The 18964-nt window shown below is 49.1% G+C and overlaps 1 protein-coding gene across 5 annotated transcripts in view, besides 1 other annotated feature; it reads right to left on the minus strand.

The window, feature by feature from the left end:
* Window positions 1-18964, minus strand: part of FAM117A (family with sequence similarity 117 member A) — a 78779-nt gene that overhangs the window by 2459 nt on the left and 57356 nt on the right. For all 5 annotated transcript variants that reach the window (XM_047436858.1, NM_030802.4, NM_001411126.1 and 2 more), the window contains exons 3-7: window positions 9709-9804; window positions 7536-7646; window positions 6970-7104; window positions 4723-4924; window positions 3375-3525 (exon numbers count right to left, since the gene is read on the minus strand). In XM_047436858.1, coding sequence (XP_047292814.1) covers window positions 3375-3525; window positions 4723-4816 — 245 coding nt within the window. In that variant the 5' untranslated portion in view covers window positions 4817-4924; window positions 6970-7104; window positions 7536-7646; window positions 9709-9804. The remainder of the gene's footprint in view (window positions 1-3374; window positions 3526-4722; window positions 4925-6969; window positions 7105-7535; window positions 7647-9708; window positions 9805-18964) is intronic.
* Window positions 6378-6938: an enhancer, noted in NCBI's record as "H3K4me1 hESC enhancer chr17:47796530-47797090 (GRCh37/hg19 assembly coordinates)". NCBI's record gives its function as "activates a minimal SCP1, AML or CMV promoter by ChIP-STARR-seq in primed H9 embryonic stem cells {active_cell/tissue: H9 hESC(primed)}" and the evidence as "EXISTENCE:reporter gene assay evidence [ECO:0000049][PMID:30033119]".

An 18964-nucleotide genomic window follows, 5' to 3' on the forward strand; every position in this document is an offset into this window, starting at 1 on the left:
AGGCAGCTAGACCTTATCGGAAGATCTGGGTTCTAACTCACCATGTGGTCCTTGTCATATCTGTCTCACCCTCCTTTTTAATTTTAATTTTTTAATTGTTTTTAGAGACAGGGTCTTGCTCTCTCACCCAAGCTGGAATACAGTGGTGTGATCATAGCTCACTGCAGCCTCAAACTCCTAGGTGCAAGTAATCCTCCTGCTCAGCTTCCCAAGGAGCTGGGATTACAGATGCCTGCCACCATTCTAGGCTAATTTTATTATTATTATTATTTTTTTAGTAGAGATGGGAGTCTCACTATGTTGACCAGGCTGGTCTTGAACTCCTGGGCTCAAGTGATCCTCCTGCCTTGGCCTCCCAGAGCACTGGGATGACAGGCATGAGCCACCGCACCCAGCCTGTCTCACCTTTATAATGTGAGAGGAATCATCCTTCCTCTTTTGATTGTTTAGGAAGATGGGATGATAAAAGGTCAGGTCAGAGAGTTCCTGAGTAAGGAATAGCCCTGATTCCTTACTGTATGGCCAAGCCTAGAGGGTGAAACAGCCCTAAGAAGCTGACGGTTTGAAAATCCCAGGTGAGAAGACAAAGGTATGGGAAGACGGTGAAGCTCTGCCACCAATGGTTCTCACCAATCACCTTTTTCTTTTTTACTTTTTATTGAAGTATAATATATACACTCAGAGAAAAATGCACTCAGTATACAGACTGATAAATTGGTTACCATCTTTTTTTTTGGACAGGGTCTCACTCTGTTGTCCACGCTGGAGTGCAGTGGTGCAATCTTGGCTCACTGCAACCTCCACCTCCTGGGCTCAAGCAATTCTCCCACCTAAGCCTCCTCAGTAGCTAGGATTACAGGCACCCACCACCACACCTGGATAATATTTTAACATTTTTTGTAGAGAGGGTGTCTCCCTATGTTGCCCAGGCTGGTCTTGAACTCCTGGACTCAAGCAATCCTCCCTTGGCTTCCCAAAGTGCTGGAATTATAGGTATCAGCCACTGCACCCAGCCAATTACCATCTTAATTCCGGAATTCCAATAATTCTAGAGCCCAGGAAGAGCAAGGTGTGAAGAGAAGAGCAGAGACCTGGCACAGAGTCAGGAGAGGTGGAGGGTAAAGGCCCACGTGGTGGGTGTGTTTGGGAAGGCCTGGCGTCCTAGAGACTCCACAGTGGCAAGGGCTTCCCTGATGGAGAAGGGTTTAAAAGAGTCCCAATTTACGGAGGGATGGGGAATGGGCAAGAGAGAGAACGTTCTAGGTGTGTGCATGTACGTGTTGGGAAGGTGACCAAGGGGAGACCCAGCAACACTCAGAGAATATGATGGCAACCAGCATGACCCTGAATACCTTGACTCCTTGCCTGGAAAATCCAGATGATCTTGGAGGGGACAACAGCTAAGAAGGGGGAAATGTGGCAGAAGAATGGCTAAACACACAAACTTCCCAATAGGAAAGTTGATTAAATAAAGAAACCTCAGTGAACTACAGAATTTAAATCCCGGCATATCTTAGAAAATCACTGATGGATCACCACCACTCTTTTTTTTTTTTTTTTTGGAGACAGAGTCTCAGTCTGTTGCCCTGACTACTGAAGTGTAGTGGTGCGATCTCAGCTCACTGCAATCTCCACCTCCTGGGTTCAAGCAATTCTCGTGCCTCAGCCTCCTGAGGAGCTGGGATTACAGGCATGCACTAACACACCCGGCTACTTTTTGTATTTTTAGTAGAGGCTGGGTTTTGCCATGTTGCCCAGGCTGGTCTCGAACTCCTGGCCTCAAGTGATCTGCCCACCTCAGTCTCCCAAAGTGCTGGCATTACAGGCGTGAGCCACTGCACCCAGCTGATCACCACTTCCTTTTTTTTTTTTTTGAGATGGAGACTCACTCTGTTGCCCAGGCTGGAGTGCGGTGGCGTGATCTCGGCTCACTGCAACCTCTGCCTCCCAGGTTCAAGCGATTCTCCTGCCTCAGCCTCCTGAGTAGCTGGGATAACAGGTGCCTGCCACCACACCTGTCTAATTTTGTATTTTTAGTAGAGACAGGGTCTTGCCATGTTGGACCAGGCTGGTCTCAAACTCCTGACCTCAGGTGATAAACACGCACCTCAGCCTCCCAAAGTGCTGGGATTAGAGGCATGAGCCACTGCACCGAGCCCACCACCTCTCTTAAAGGGTTAATGCAGGGGCAGGAAGATAAATGAGCTGACTTTAAGGCCTCTTCTGGCACTGAGTCTATGAAAAAATCAAGATGAGCTACAGCTTAATTTCCACCCACATTTCCAGGTTGTAATTACTCCACCATAATGTGGATTGAGGGAGGGTACAAGAGTCTAGAGCCTGCTGAAGCTAAGAGATCTGGCCTCTTCCCTCCACAGCTTCTCAGAGGACCTAGGAGTCTTGAAGGGATCCCAGGCAACAATAATAACAGTAACAAAACCTCTAGTGGCAATGGTTTTCTCTGTAACTCCTACTGTGGCTTCTGTATGTACCTTCGGCTGCCACCATGGGTTATTGCTCCCTTATTTGAGATACAAATGGTGCTCTCAATGACCCAAATCCAGTCCCAGCTACATCTTCACTCACACACCATGACTAAACTTCCTGACTGCCACTGAAACCCCAACTTGGTGTGAATCTGCCCTGGTGAGTATTAAGCTGGCAGCAGGAAATGAAATGAGCTCTTTGGTGCCTGCTAACGGGGACAGGGGCATTTGGAAAGGTTGGCTCTCAATTCTTTCGGCTAATGGGAGGAAAGTGTAAAGAATCAACAGAAGAATGGCTTCTGAACGATCCAATCTGGTTTGGAAATTTTCCATAGTCCTTACTTGCAAGGACTGGAAATTTCTGTCTGGGAGTTCATGACACTTGAACCACTGCAGCCACAGGGTGAAGACTTGACTCCGAAGCTCAAACTGTTAAGCTGTTTAGGCCCCCCATTCTACTCCAGTGGGGCTGAAACACTTCTAATCTCTGACTGAAGAGAAATACTAATATGTTCTCCCCACACCCCCCATCTCTCGCTCTCGCTCTCTCTCTCTGATTATGGTCTAGCAAATTCTCACACCTTCCCCGGAGATGGAAAAAAATAGAAGAAACAAAGGGCTTAGGTTTCAGATATATTTTCTTTCCAGCTCCTGCTGCGCTTGTGGCTGGCATGTGGGCAGAGAGCAGGTTTCTATGGAGATAATGATAAGCAAAGATTTAAGTGCTCAGAGTAGGTAATGTCAACACGTTTGATCATGGAAAGCTGGCAATACTTATCATCTAAAGTTGACAACACCTCTATGACAAGAGAGAGTCCAAGACTGAAGAAGGTGGGAGAATGTAGGCCCACCCTCCCCTCCCACACCCTGTCCACTTGGTGTACTCACGTGGCTTCTTCAAACACACGCACTTTCTCACAGCCTTCTGGGGGCTCCCGTTTGAAGATGTAGCTATGATTAGGTCGAGGGGAGGCAGCAAAGGCAAGGACTGGAGATGGGCTGCCATCTTCAAGAAAGGCTGGGTGTCCTGGAGAGGAGGCTGTGAACAGAGCAAGGCTAAGTCTAGTGGAGATGAAGGGAAGGCCTCCACTTTTCTGGGTCCAGGACTGAGGTGTAAAGTGGCAAGGCTGGGGACACATGGTAAGGAAGAGGGTAGCGGGTGTGCTTATCCAGTGTGATTATACTCTACCTTAAAAACCTTTGAGGCAGCTTACAAAAATACACAGTGTATAACAGAACAGAAAAACGGAGTTGAATGTATGGAAAGTTAAGATCTCATACCAATTCTATATTCCCAGGAGGTAGACTGGGACCGGAACTCCAGATCTCAGACTTGAAGGAATACTAACTGTGTCTCTCTCTGCCTTCTTCCAAGACTGTCACACCCTCCCTGCCAACATACCACAGCTTCTTCCTGTCCACAGTCTTGAAAATCTATCCTTTCTTCCAAGAACTCTTCTCCGACTCAGAGAAGCAATCTTTACTCAACCCCACTTGTAGGATAAAATTCCTCTCCCTTTCCACACAGTGAATGTACTTTGCCTAGGTTGCAAATATTGACTTTATCTGTATTTATCTCACATTTATTCCTCCTTATTCTATGCTCTGTTTACCCATGTGTATTGTTAGATCATGCCCTTGACCAGCCTACCTCATGGGGTTGATGTGACAATCAAATCAGACAACATAGGCACAGTGCTTTATAATGTAAGGATTATTATTAGGAGGTAGGAATTTCATCTCATTTTCTCAGAGAAGTAGCTAGGGCATTGTAGAAAATAGAGATTTGGAGTAAAAAAAAAAAATGAGTTTTGGTCTGGGTCAAACTATGCAACCCTGGGCAAGCAACCACATTCTCTTACTTTGTATCACTCACAACCACTTTGAAACCATTGTTGGGAATGAGTACAGTGGACACCTGAATGAAGACTTGCTGCTTTCCCCTACAGCTTGCTGAACCTCAGCCCAAAAATGGGGATGGCAGGGATTGCTTCTTTGGATCCCAGTGAGGATTAAATAGAAGTATAAATGCAGTGACTTCATAAATTATCAATCAGAACAGGATGTATGGGACCATTATTATCATTGGTATAATGTGCAGAAGAAAGATGACTCATAAAGATATTCTAGTAGGGTACTGAGAATGCTAGGCCTGAATTGACTAGAGGTGGAAAAGGGAGTGGAGCCACTCATGTGCCCCAGAGTCAGCCCTGCTGCCTCAGCCTTCGCGGCTTACCTTTGTCGTTGGGGGTGGATGCCAGCTCCTCGGCGGCACCCCGATGTTCCTCATGACTGGCCAGGCCACAAGGCTGGGGAGATGCCAAGGACATGGAAGGAGAGCTGGCAAGGTTGCCAGGCTCCAGGAGGAGGAGGGGATGATCACAGCTGCCACTCTGGGGAGGAGCTGGGGCCCGGTGCCCATCAGGGATATCAAGGATCTAACGGGGAAGGACGGTAAAGACTGTCAGCCCTGAGTATTTCAGGCCTGCAGCAGCACAGTGACCCCAAGGGTATTTCCCTTGCTGCTGTCATTCTCTATCCATGACACACAACCACAGAACACCATTTCCTCCAGCGATTTATTTCCCTGGCCACCCTTCAATCTAGAAGAAACTCCCTCCTGTTTCTTCCATAGCACTTTGCTCTTATCCCTAATAGCACTCACAGTCCAATGTATAATTACATATTCACCTGTAGGGCTTGATCAATGTGTTGTCCCCATAAGACTATAAGCCTCATGAGGGCAGGGACCTTCTGTGCCCTGGGCTCTAGGAACACAAAGATGATAACGTATGCTGGAGGGCACAATAGCGGCAAACCACCAGGAGCCTATAAGTGCTGTAACCATTGCAGAACAAGTATGCTGATGATTAGCATGTGTTACATACCTCCTCACCCCCTTTTAAAAACACTCAATGGTACTTGAACCTGTAGCTCACCAAATTATGTGCATGTGTTTGGGTATATGTAAAATCCTGCATACATGCAAATTCAAAACCAACTAGTAGGTAAATCATAAACTGAGAAGTGTGCCCATTAGAATCATATTAATATTGGCCAACTGGCATTCCCCAATTAAACTGTGTCAATATAAAATTGTGCCTGAGGCCAGCTGGGCGCAGTGGCTCACGCCTGTAATCCCAGCACTTTGGGAGGCTGAGGCGGGCGGATCACGAGGTCGGGATATAGAGACCATTCTGGCTAACAAAGTGAAACCCCGTCTCTACTCAAAGATACAAAAAAAATTAGCCAGGCATTGTGGCGGGCACCTGTAGTCCCAGCTACTCGGGAGGCTGAGGCAGGAGAATGGCGTGAACCCAGGAGGCGGAGCTTACAGTAAGCCCAGATCACGCCACTGCACTCCAGCCTGGGCGACAGAGCGAGATTCTGTCTCAAAAAAAAAAAAGAAAAAAAAATGTGCCTGAGACCAGCACGGTGGCTCACGCCTGTAATCCCAGCACTTTGGGAGGCCAAGGTGGGTGGATCATGAGGTCAGGAGATCGAGGCCATCCTGGCCAACATGGTGAAACCCCCTACTAAAATACAAAAAATTACCTGGGCATGGTGGCGCATGCCTGTAGTCCCAGCTACTGGGGAGGCTATGGAAGGGGAATTGCTTGAACCCGGGAGGCGGAGATTGCAGTGAGCCAAGATGGCGCCACCGCACTCCAGCCTGGCGACCAGAGCGAGACTCTCCAAAAAAAAAAAAAAGGCCGGTGGCTCACGCCTGTAATCCCAGCACTTAGGGAGGCCGAGGCGGGTGGATCATGAGGTCAGGAGTTCAAGACCAGCCTGGCAAAGATGGTGAAACCCCATCTCTATTAAAAATACAAAAATTAGTCAGGCGTGGTGGCAAGCGCCTGTAATCCCAGCTACTGGGGAGGCTGAGGCAGAGAACTGCTTGAACCCGGGAGGCGGAGGTTGCGGTGAGCTGAGATCGCGCCACTGCACCCCAGCCTGGGCAACAAGAGTGAAACTCCATCTCAAAAAAAAAAAAAAGTGCCTGAGACTTCAGCAAAGGTAGCACATATTCTGCCTGGGAGTGGAGTCGGGGAGAAGGCTGCATAGGAGCAGCTTGGCATGAAGGAGGCATGCGTGTTACCAGGTAGAGATGGAGAAGGGGCAGGGAGCAGCAGGCACTGAGGCGCCCATGCCGGTGCCGAGCACACGGGGAACAGTGAGAACTGGCAGTTTGGCTGAAGATGACCCCTGTCTGTTCCTCCCAGCGGGGGGGCCTCCTCTCTGCCAATCCTTGCCCCCTGTCTTTGTACTCACCACCACAAAGCCTGCCCTAGTGACATGGGTTAAGGCCATTTGAGACTAATAAACTCCATTTGCATTCCTTTTGCAGGCTGGTGTTTGTATGCTGCTGTTTGCGTAGCCATAGCCTGTGAGGCCCCAGAGAGCAGGACTCCCAGTTCCCCTCGCCCAGGCCAAGTGAGGCACGGACTGTGGGTGCACTCAGGGTGCAGCCGCCACTCACCCTCAGCAGCTCCTCTTCTCCCTGCTCCTTCACAAATACCTCCTCCAGCTCTTGGTTGAGCCCTTCCAGGCTCCTGTGCAGGCAGGGGCTGAGTCGCAAGACAGGGGACCCTGAGGGGAAGCTGGGAGGGGACGCCTGAGGAAGAGGCAAATGACAAAATCACACACAGCCCCACCAGGCCTAGACAGTCTTTCATTCTGACCAGGGGTAATGGTCATGTCCACACAGCAGAACTGAGTGAATGAAGGGTGATTTGGGGACAGTTACAGATTGCAATAGGTCCACTCAGGGCAGTTTTCTCCAAAAGTTTGAGCTTTGCAGAGTCTACTGTGTGCTGTAGAGTCATTGCCTCAATTATATGGGGATGGGGGTAGAAGAGAGGGAGATTCAGAACGGCAAGAAGCCCTTCCAATATCACACAGCAAGACCAAGTTTGGACTAAAACTTCACAAAGCATGCAGTGTGGTAGGGGGCTCGGCAGTTCCAAGACCCAGGAAACCTCTGCCCATATAGGGGGGCCTGCATGGAGGAGAACAGAGGGGAGAGGGCTGGGGGAGAAAACATACCCTCAGTGCTCCCCGCACTGCGTGGTCCCCTAGGAGTGGTGAACCTCGCTCCTTCTCTTTCCCACTGCGGCTCAGCTTCGTCCTCTGCAGTTGTTGCTTCAACTTGGAAATCTAGCAGCCCAGAGAGAAGACGACAGAGGCAGATTAAGGAAAGCCAAAGTGCACTGGGTCCCTCTTCCAAAGAGTGGCTCCTGGCAGAGGCCCATGAAGATATATACAAGGAGGATGGAAGTTAATCTTCCATCTCAAAATAGCTCAATGGTGTTAAAACTGTGATGATCTGTTCCTCAGACGAGTTGGATACCTCACTTAACTAGATGGATTGGATTCCAAATAATTAAAAATATACAACATGGAAACCATTTTGTCTTTTACAGATTCCAAAGGCATGGACTACCCCTCTTTTTTTTTTGAGACTGAGTCTCGCTCTCTCACCCAGGCTGGAGTGCAATGGTGCGATCTCGGCTCACTGCAACCTCCACCAGGTTCAAGCAGTTCTCTGCCTCAGCCTCCTGAGTAGCTGGGATTACAGGCACCCACCATCACCCCCAGCTAATTTTTGTATTTTTAATAGAGATGGGGTTTCACCATGTTGGCCAGGCTGGTCTTGAACTCCTTACCTCGTGATCCACCCGCCTCAGCCTCCCAAAGTCCTGGGATTACAGGCATGAGGCATTGCGTCTGGCCCTACCCCTCTATAAATAGCAATGGAAGATGATGTTTCTGAATGCTAAGGACATTCAGAGTACATTCACAACGATCTTAGAGGCCCTGAGACCAGGAAGGATGGGGATATTCTCCCTTGTTTAAAGTAGACTACACTAGGAACAGGGATAGACACTCAAGAAGGGGATATTGGATTTCATCTTGACTTTCATATCCTGAGACTACTACAGATTATCATCAACAGTTTTGAATATTATCCCATCACATGTGCAATTCTGGACCTTCTTGCCCTCAACTGGAAAATGCTCAGGGGATGAAGAGCTATTTAAATATAAGCCTAAATTAAATGGAATTCAGAGAGTAGATCTGCTACCCACAGCCATAAGATTTATGACTAGAGCCAAGAAGAAAGAGCTTTCCAATTTGCTATTGTGGGTCACTCATACCACATCTCCCCATTCTTAGTGTGAATAACTTGCTTACTCTGACCATTGAAAAGTTTAAATATTTTTTATTTCCCCCTTGTCTTAAGCTCTCAACGTATTCACTTCATATTTTCTCATTGTTCTCAGCAATAGAGGGCAGAAGCAACTTCCTCTTGTAAAGGCGTGCAGGGTGAGTCCTATCGAGTTGACCCTCTCAGAAGCTGCCACACAGCATGTCAGGAGGAGCTGATGGGGAGCCCTGGAATATTCCAGCCTACGGCTTTCTCCCCTTAACCTCAATGACTTGAGCACTCCTGAGGGAGAGGGAGGGCCAGGAAAAAGTGTTTGGGAGCATTTCGTTATTTTTCTCTTCTCTTGAAAATAAGGCTAGGGCTGGGCGTGGTGGCTCACGCCTGTAATCCCAGCACTTTGGGATGCTGAGGCTTGCAGATCACCTGAGGTCAGGAGTTCAGGACCACCCTGGCCAACACGGTGAAACCCATCTCTACTAAAAAAAAAAAAAAATTCAAAAATTAGGTGGCTGTGGTGGTGGGTGCCTGTAATCTAAGCTACTTAGGAGGCTGAGGCAGGAGAATCGCTTGAACCCAGGAGGCGGAAGTTGCAGTGAGCCGAGATCGTGCCACTGTACTCCAGCCTGGCCAGTAGAGACTCTGTTTCCAAAAACAAACAAACAAACAAAAAACTAGATGAGTAGTTAAGAAGTAAATGAGGCTGGGAGCTCCTAATTCCCAGGAACTCCCTCCCTGTCTTCCTCCAGTCTCTGAGCTGCTTATCTGGATCCAATCCCAAAGAACAATGGTGGCTCCAGCCCTGTGCTTGCTGCTGAAAGGCACTAGCAGCCTCTGGCCAAGCCCCTGCCTAGCAGGAGGGTCTGGGCTCCTAAGACCTGGCCACTTGGAGAGTGGGAGTCAGCTAGGAAGGAGCCATCTCATCAGGAAAAGGCCAGGTCAAGATAGGAGAGGTGAGCAGTGTGACGCCACCATGGAGCAGATGCATTGCATGGTACTAGGGGATCGAGAAGAAGCCGCTACCCTAGGCAGGGAGTCAAAGTGGGTAGCTACCTCTTTTCGGTGGTCTGTGCTGCCCCAGGATGCTGAGCGCTTGTGTGCACAGGAACTGGCACGCTCACCTTCTAGCTCTTGCCAGGACAGGGGCGTCTGCAGGGAGAGAAACACAGTGAGACACAGCAGCTTCTTTGGCAGGCACTGGGGAACAGGCACACTGTTTTCTGGGTAGAGGTGATGGCCCTTTGAGCCCTTCTCTCTGCTCATCAACCTCTGAACACTCCCAGTCGGTGTTCTTCTTCAGGCTTCTCCACCTGCACTCCCTCCTTCCCAGTTCATGTCCTCCAGCAAACATTCCCTGATGACCCAACAGGGCCAACCTCCTCTTTACTCTTTTCTGAGTGCTATACATATATGATATCCCAGTTATTCCAGCTGATCCTCAGTGGTGAGGACAAGTATTGCCACTCCTATCCCAACCAGCTCCAAGAGAATATAGGCTCAGGCTCCGGGAATCACTGGCACTCTTTATTCTCTCGCCCTCTACATGTGTAGCACAGGCCCAGGCTCCTGGGAGCCTAATAAAAACAAGTTAATATATAGGAGTGCATTAAGGGATTATTAACTGGTAAAACAGGAAAAAATGTCAACATAGGTCCCCTGACCAAAGCAGGGGACTCCTGTATGGTGCAGTGCTTCATTTTTCCCTGCACATGGAATAAGTGTTACTCCCCCAACCCCTGCCCCCGCTGCAAATAAGCAGGAAGGAGACATTTTCAGAAAGGAGAGAGCCACAGTTCTGAATCCAGCCCTGATTCCTGATCCCTCTTGGCCTTATCACTCCTTTTCCTCCCGGGCCTGCCCAGCCCTCATAAAAACAGGGCCCTCAGTGTGCATCTTCTCTCCCTTGCTGCACCGAAGACAGAGTGTCCAAGATGGAGGCAGGGAGAGCTGCAGGACTACTTCCTGAGCCCCGACCCAAGGGAGGAAGCTGTTGGCTCTAAGCATGAAGCCAAAGAGGCCCAGAACCCTCCCCACCACCAGTATCCCTACTTCCATTCCAAGGGAGGGGCCCAAGGGGGAACGCTCCAGTGGAACCAGTTTCTCTCTAACTTCTGTGCACAAGCACAGGCTGCCAAAAACATGAGGGCCTGGGAACTGTCTCCTCCAAGAGATCTGCTGACCTCCCCCGAGAGGTTGTTGCAAACAGAAAAGGGGGAGGACGGGGAAAAAAACCCAACTACTCGCCACCCAACAGCTGCTAAGAGGAGCTCGGCGGGGGAGTCTGAGCAAGCTTGTGAGAGCAGACGGCCGTATGTGACAGCTGCAGTGGAGAGGGGCCACTGGGGATTGGGGCTCCCTGGCTCTTCCTTCTCCCAGCTGCTCATGGATCAGCACCTTTACTGGGCCACGCAACATAGCCAGGGTGAGACAACTACCCTAACTTTCTTGTTCTGATGAGCATCACGAGTAAGTAGGTAACAGAGGAGTCTACAAATGCTAAATAAAGCATCCAGAGATCCATTTCCCCACAATTCCCTTCTTTAGGAAAAGGGCAGACAGCACATCCTTCAGGCCCAAATCTTCAGCACAAACCCTAAAGCCATATACTGGCTCTGTCAGTATATGGAAAGCTACTTCCAAATGCCCATGTCTCTCTAAACCAGGGTTCTACCAGACAAAGCCTCAGAAAAGGCTGGTGCATGCACTGAAAAGTGAGGAGGAAGCCCATCTCTCCCAGCCACCTCGACCCAGCAGACACACAAAGGATCCTCTCCTCAAGGCTCCAGGACCAACTCTAAAGATGACTACCTCTGCTAATCGAAGCTGGGCCCCGCACCCCCCACACAAACCTGTTGTCCCTGGAAGGTGGCAGAGGCTATAGAGGGATGACAAAAGCTAAAGGGACCGTTCTGCCCATTTCCCTTCCTCAGGGAAGATACTGTACTCACAGGTGGGTGGTAACAGAGAGGAAAAAACAGCCACATTCAGGCCGCCACGGGTACTACTAATATCTCTTGCAAACTCTTCAAGTACCTCTTTCTTCTGGGATATGCGAGAGGATGGAAAGAGAAATGCAGGCTAGCACAGGACTTAAAAAGGATGTGAGGCTGGGGGTGGTGGCTCATGCCTGTAATCCCAACACTTTGGGAGACTGAGGCGGGTGGATCACTTGAGGTCAAGAGTTCAAGACCAGCCTGGCAAACATGGTGAAACCCCGTCTCTACTAAAAATAGAAAAATTAACTGGGCGCCTGTAATCCCAGCTATTCAGGTAGCTGAGGCACGAGAATTGCTTGAACTCAAGAGGTAGAGGTTGCAGTGAGCTGAGATTGCACCACTGCACTCCAAGCCTGGGCGACAGAGCAAGACAGTCTCAAGAAAAAAAAAAAAAAAAAGAAAGAAAGAAAAAAGAAAAAAAAGAAAAGAAAAAGAAAGGGATGTGAAAATCATAGCAGCTAGGGTCATCTCCTCTCTCAATCCAAGTGACCCCACCTCTCTCCGCTCAGCAACGTCTTCCACCAACCACTGCCTTCTCTGTGTAAACTATACTACTAAGGCCATTTCTTTGTGTCAACACCCAACCCCTGGCCATAGAATTCACCATCTGACCCTTCATCCCACGGGCTCTCCATCCTTGGCTCTCTGTCCTCCCAAGCAAACCCATCTCCCTCTCCTTTTTCTTACCTTACCCCCAACCTCCAAGCCTGGTCTCCCGATCTAAGACGGCCTGCCCGGCCAACTATTCCCATTCTTCTTGTCAGGGAGCCTTTCCTAACTTGTCTGCCTCAGGCTGACTGCTCTTCTGCTCTGTGTCTCCTCCTTGCAGATGGGCTCTGAGTGTACAGCATTCGTGCAATCAACAAATAGTGGCTGAATGTACACTGTGTGCCCGGTACTGTTTCAGGCACTGGCCATACAACCATGTACAAAACAACACAAATACTTGTCCCGTCTGAGTTTATGTTCTTATTGGGGAGACAGTTTAAACAGTGATAAGTGCCAAGGAGAAAAATACAGCAAAGAAAAGGGATAGGAATGCTGGGTGGGGGATACAATTGGAAATGTCAGGGAGGCCCCCAATGAAAAAGTAACATCTGAATAAAAACACGAAGGAAGTGAGGGAGTGAGTCATGTGCGTATCTGAGGTAAGAGTAATCCAGACAGAGGGAACAGCCAGTGCAAAGGCCCTGTGGCGGCAATGAGCCTGGCATGTTTGAGAATGATAAAGAGGCCAGTGTGGCTGGAGCAGAGTGTGTCAGGAGATGCAGTGACAGGTTAAAAAACAGCTCCTCAAAGATGAGGAACCTATAAATGTTACCTTGTATAGTAACGTTTTTGCAGATGTATTAAGGATCTTGAGATTATCCAAGATTATCTGGGTGGACCCTAAATACCATTACAAACGTCCTTAAATAAGAAAGAGGCAGAGGGAGATTAGATGTATGCACACTGAAGAGGATAAAGCGATATGACCACAGAGGCAGAGACTCGAGTGATGTGGCTGCAAGCCAAGGAGTGCCAGCAGCCACCAGAAGCTAGAAGTGCAGGAACAGACTCTCCCCAGGAGCCTCCTGGGAGAGAATGGCCCTACCAACACCTTGATCTCAGCCCAGTGAAACAGAACTTGGACTTCTGGTCTCCAGAACTGTGAAATAATACATTTCTGTGGTATTAAGCCACTAAGTTTGAGGTAATTTGTTAAAGCAGCCTCAGAAACCTAATGCAGTAGGTTATCCTGTGTTTGAAGTTGTTGACATGCTGACATCGAGTATTCTTTTTTTTTTGAGATGGGAGTTTCACTCTTGTTGCCCAGGCTGGAGTGCAATGGCGCAATCTTGGCTCACTGAAACCTCCGCCTCACGGGTTCAAGCGATTATCCTGCCTCAGCCTCCCAAGTAGCTGGGATTACAGGCATGTGCCACCACACCTGGCTAATTTTGTATTTGTAGTAGAGACGGGGTTTCACCATGTTGGTCAGGCTGGTCTCGAACTCCTGACCTAAGGTGATCTGCCTGCCTCAGCCTCCTAAAGTGCTGGGATTACAGGCATTAGCCACTGCGCCCACCCGACATCGAGTATTCTCAAGGCAGGAGTGTACACAGGTGTGGACTATAGCCCCTCCTAAACTGGGAGTGCCCAGAGTGGGGACTGTGTCCCCAGTTTCCAGTGCCCAAGGTTAGATAGGACTCCTCTTCTGAGTCTCACCATGTAGTCACAGCTAAGAAAAGCTCCCCTTCAAAAAGCTAACCTGGCCAGGTGCGGTGGCTCATGCCTGTAATCCCAGCACCTTGGGAAGCCAAGGCAGTAGGATTGCTTGAGGCCAGGAGTTCAAAACCAGCCTGGTCAACTAGCGAGACCCTATCTCTATAAAAGAAATAATTTTAAATTAGCCAGTTATGGTGGTGCATATCTGTAGTCCCAGCTACTAGGGAGGCTGAGGCAGGAGGACCACTTGCGCCCAGAGTTCGAGGCTGCAGTGAGTCATGATAATACCACTGCACTCCAGCCTGGGCAATAGAGTGAGACCCTGTCTCAAAAAAAAAAGGAAAAAAGAAAAAGAAAAAACTAACCTTCTGGCCACAACAGGGGTCACACCATGCTGCTCAGTCATTCTAGATGACCCTTTGGAAGCAGGGTAGAGCTGGAGCTCAGCAGACCAAAAAGTCATGTTTGTCTCCAGGCACGGTGACTCATGCCTGTAATCCCAGCACTTTGGGAGGCTGAAGTGGGCAGATCAGATCACTTGAGGTCAGGAGTTCAAGACCAGCCTGGTCAACATGGTGAAACTCCGTCTCTACTAAAAATACAAAACAATTGGCCGGGCATGGTTGCACATGCCTGTAATCCCAGCTACTTGGGAGGCTGAGGCAGGAGAATTGCTTGAAGCTGGGAGGCGGAGGTTGCAGCGAGCCAAAATCGAGCCACTGCACTCTAGCTTGGGCGACAGGGCGAGACTCTGTTCTCCAAAAAGAAAAAGAACAAAAAGTTGTTTGTCAGGGGGAGTCATGCACTGGAACAGATTTGACACCCTGGCCCAGGGTGAGCAGCTGAGGGACAAGTAGGGTAGCTTCTGACCATGAGTGGCATGGGCCAGCTGTGCAGATGATACTTAGGTTATGCAAAACTGGACGTGGCCAGACCAAGGAAGCCTTGCCTGGGATTGAGATCCCAGAGCAACATGTGGAAGGACAGCTGGGCATGGGGGTGGAGGACAGTTTCTCAAAGAGCCATCTAATATAATGAGGAGGAGGGGCGGGATGAAGCTGAAAACCCTCCAAACTGGAATCTCTCAGCCTCCAGCCCAAAAGTTTCTACCTAGACTCCATGACCACAGGCAGGAAAGTCCTGGCCCTCACTGTCTCCAGTGACCTTGGCACCTGAGTAAGCTCCATGTGTGGAGCTGGGCTAGGCCCTGGGAACGTAACCCACTATCCCTGCACGGGACTGTCAAGCAGCATGGTGCCTGGCCTGGTGTGGACCGTCAGGACCACGTGTTCAACTGAAATTCTGCAGGGAATCAGTCCCTTAGGTCTCCGGCCAAACAAAAAGGCCGGAAAAGGCTCTGAGGGTGGTCTGCTGGTCAGCACTGAAAACTGGCTGCAAGTGGCCAAGGCCACCATCTCTGGCCCTACAGTGACTATGCAACTCTCAGATTTTCCATCATGGCCCCATTTTCAAATGTTTGGTACTTTTGTCAAACTATGCTGAACAACTGGTCCTGATCGCCAATCTGGAAAACAGGCAGTGTGCCCAGGCCCCCACACCCACAAAGAAAAACATTTTTAAAAGGTCCATGATGGTCAGACTGAATTGTGTGTCATCACTGTTGGGGCACTGGCTTGGGAAAACAGGGAGGATAGTACACAGGTAGGGGAAAGACACAGGAAGAGAAGTCTTCCCAGTGAGCATGCCCACCTTCACCTCTGGCCTTCCTCATACTCCGTGTGGTTTGTCAAGACTTAAGCTTTTTTTTTTTTTTCTAAAGGGTAAGTTGGGGCTAAAGAAAAAAATATCCTATCATAGAAGCTTCCCCATCTTACCTGGGGAATGCAGAGGGAATGGGGCTGGGGATGAGTAGAATGGGGGGCTGGGCTAGGCAGGACAGGTACCCAGAGTCCTGTCCGTCAGCAGGATGAGACCAACAGGGGAACTTTGCTCAAACAGTCATTCCAGCTGTGATGAGACCACTTCCTCCCTCCAGAAAAATACACGAAGACTCAAAGGTTTGCACAGCAAGAAGGGAAAGGGGTAACTGCAGCCACCGGCATGTACTGCCCTCACCCACCCTGGCCTGGGCCCAGCCACTAGAAGTGGGCAACACAAAGCAATCGGTGGCCAGCTCTAGTTTACCAACTGACCTGGTCATCTCTCCCGTTGCTCAAAACATGCAGCATCTCCAAAGCACTTCTTCCCCAATTACCATGTTCACACATCCTCCTCCCAAAAACAACCAATATCACAAATAACATATATCCGCACGCTTCCTCTTTCCTTGCCCCAAATATTTGGGTAACCCAGTTCTCCATGTCTGACTGTAAATGGCCTGAGGACAATCCTTTGTAACCACCTAAGAGTTTAAAACACAACGAGGAAGGAGATACTAGGATGAGATTGTTGGCACTACTGGGCTATATTCAAGAACTGAGAGCTTTTCGCTCCATCTTCTACTCTGTGAAGAAGCCTCAAGATAGCATGCCCGGCTATCTAGACAGCAGGTGTCCCAGGCTTGCTGCCTAGATCTGAAGCTGGCTTGCAATGGGCAGGGCCCTGGTCTCCTCTCAGGGATTCAGAGGAAGGAGCTGCTTAGCCTGAACCATAACTGCAGCTGCTGACCTCATTGCAAGGCATGCCCTGGGAATGCCAGGGCTGCTGGCTCTTGGTGGAGGGAGGTTAGGCAAGTAGGACAGTAGTAGTGAGTGCCCACCAGTGAGGGAGGATGAAGCAGAAAATAACTACTATATTGGTATGACTAGAAGAGAAAGGGCAAAAGGTAAGGGCAGCGGTAGGAACAGCCCCACCCTCAGCTTAGGGCAATTGGGAAAAGGTTCTGGCATCAGTCTTTTTTTTTTTTTTTTTTTTTTGACACAGAGTCTCGCTCTGTTGCCAGGCTGGAGTGCAGTGGCATGATCTCGGTTTACTGCAACCTCTGCCTCCGGGTTCAAGCGATTCTCCTGTCTCAGTCTCCCGAGTAGCTGGGACTACAGATGTGAGTCACCATGCCCAGCTAATTTTTGTATTTTTAGTAGAGATGGGGTTTCACCATGTTGGCCAGGATGGTCTCGACCTCCTGACCTTGTGATCTGCCCACCTCGGCCTCCCAAAGTGCTGGGATTACAGGCGTGAGCCACCATGCCTGGCCATATTAGTCCATTTTTAACAGCTTAAAAGCTTTCAAGGACTTTGGTAGATCCTGCCACCCTCCCTTCCCTCTTCCCCTCTCCAGACACCTTCATGTCTTCCCAGTCAAACCTCTCCTTCCTCTCCAGTCCTTTCTGGGTGATATCCCAGTACTCAATAGGAAAGGAACACCAGTTACTTAGGAATATGTCAGGTGAGCCTCAGACCTCCACAGTGTAATACCAGTGTTGAAGAGGGTAGCTTGGACCAGGCCCGGGGGCTTAAGCAGGAATTTGAATGGAGCCCAAAACCTAGAAGCAGCAAATTCCCAGAAGACCAGGAATGAAAGATGGGTAGAGTGCATATTTTGGTTTGGATGCCTAGGTTGATCAGCATTCTCCACCTCCTGACTGCGGCCACAATATTGACAGGTTGCTAAGAGTTCCTCGAGGGCTGGAGCCCATCCCAGGGAAAGAGGAAAGCTGCATGGCTTGGCCTTGCCAGACCCACGGAGGCTCATCGCTGACCTCTGTCTTGCTGTGGCAAGAAGCCCAGACTTGTTATATAAAAGATCTGGCCTACAGCTGGAGCCTGAGCAAAAACACACAGCCTAGGGCCCATGCCTCTAAACTCAGCCAGGGAACATCTGAGGCCAACCCTGCCTTCAGTTGACAAAGAGAAAGCTATCTGAGGAGTGGGATGGTGACTTCCTAGAAGGCTGAAAGCAGGAAATGACAGAGGCAGAAATAGGTGGGCTACACAGAAGCCTGCCATCTGACAAACAGGGATGCAATAATGAGCTTACACACTCAAAGGAATCTCAAGTCCTGTTCCTCCAGGAAGCCCTCCTTGACTACAAACATATTTGAACTAAGCACTCCTATCAAAAGACAAAGTTATGTGTGCTCCCAGGCCTGTGAGGAGGAAGCATAATTTATCCTACTTGCCTTTTCCAAAGGATAAAGGGAATGGCAGTGCCCAGGGCTCCCAGGAAGGAAGCCTACTCTCTCTCCTTCCTGGAGGGTATTCTCCTTTCACAGTCTATTTGTAGATCCAAAGAGGGCCATGATTTTAACTGCAGCAAATTCTTGTTGATTCAAGGTGGGGTATTCCCATGAGAATTCCCCTTCTTTAAACTTTGCCAGATATTTGGCTCCATCTCATCCCTTGGCTGTCTGTTTACTGGCCCTCATAGAACTGGAATCCAGACTCATGGAGGCCAAATCTTGTCCTCATTTCCTTATTCTTCATTCCAACATGCCAAGAACAGTACTGGGCATTCAAACATTCACTAACAACATTTGAAAATGGATCGCATTAACAAAATAAATAAAGGAAAGAAACTGACATGATGTGGTCAGAAGAGGTACCAAGCACTTTCATGTGTCATTTGGCCATCATGCCACCTACACAGAGGCAGACCACGCACTCTCCACCCAGTTTGCAAAGGAAGAGCTGACTTGCCCAATGTCCCCCAGGGTGAAGGGCTGACTCGGACCCTCATGTCCTAGCCACCCTGTTTCTGCCTATCTCGAAATAACTCATTTGCTCTGAAGATGAACAAGAGTGCGTTTAAACTGCATCAAAAGGGAGATTTGACTCTTAACAACTTAGCTGCTAAGAATGAAGTCCTGAATCAGATTAAGAAATGTCTGTATAATTTCACATATGAGATACGTTCGTGCTAGCTTATCCAAAAATTGGTAAATGAACTGGATGATCTGCAGAGATTCTTTCCGAGCTTGGGATTCTTAATGAAAAGACTGTCTTAATGAAAATACTGAAGGAGAGGAAGCTGGCTCCCCAGTCCTTGAATGGGTACACTGAAATCCCAGTCGGGGCTGCTGGCAAGGAAGAATTCTCCATTATCTGAGAACTTCCCATTCCTATGGCTCCAGTGGGATCTATTCTGGCTCAGCATACTTTTTGGCCACTTCTTTGGGAAATACAAACTCAATAGAATGTTGGCCTTG

Source organism: Homo sapiens, chromosome 17 (genome assembly GCF_000001405.40).
Source record: "Homo sapiens chromosome 17, GRCh38.p14 Primary Assembly".
NCBI classification, from domain to species: Eukaryota; Metazoa; Chordata; class Mammalia; order Primates; family Hominidae; genus Homo; species Homo sapiens.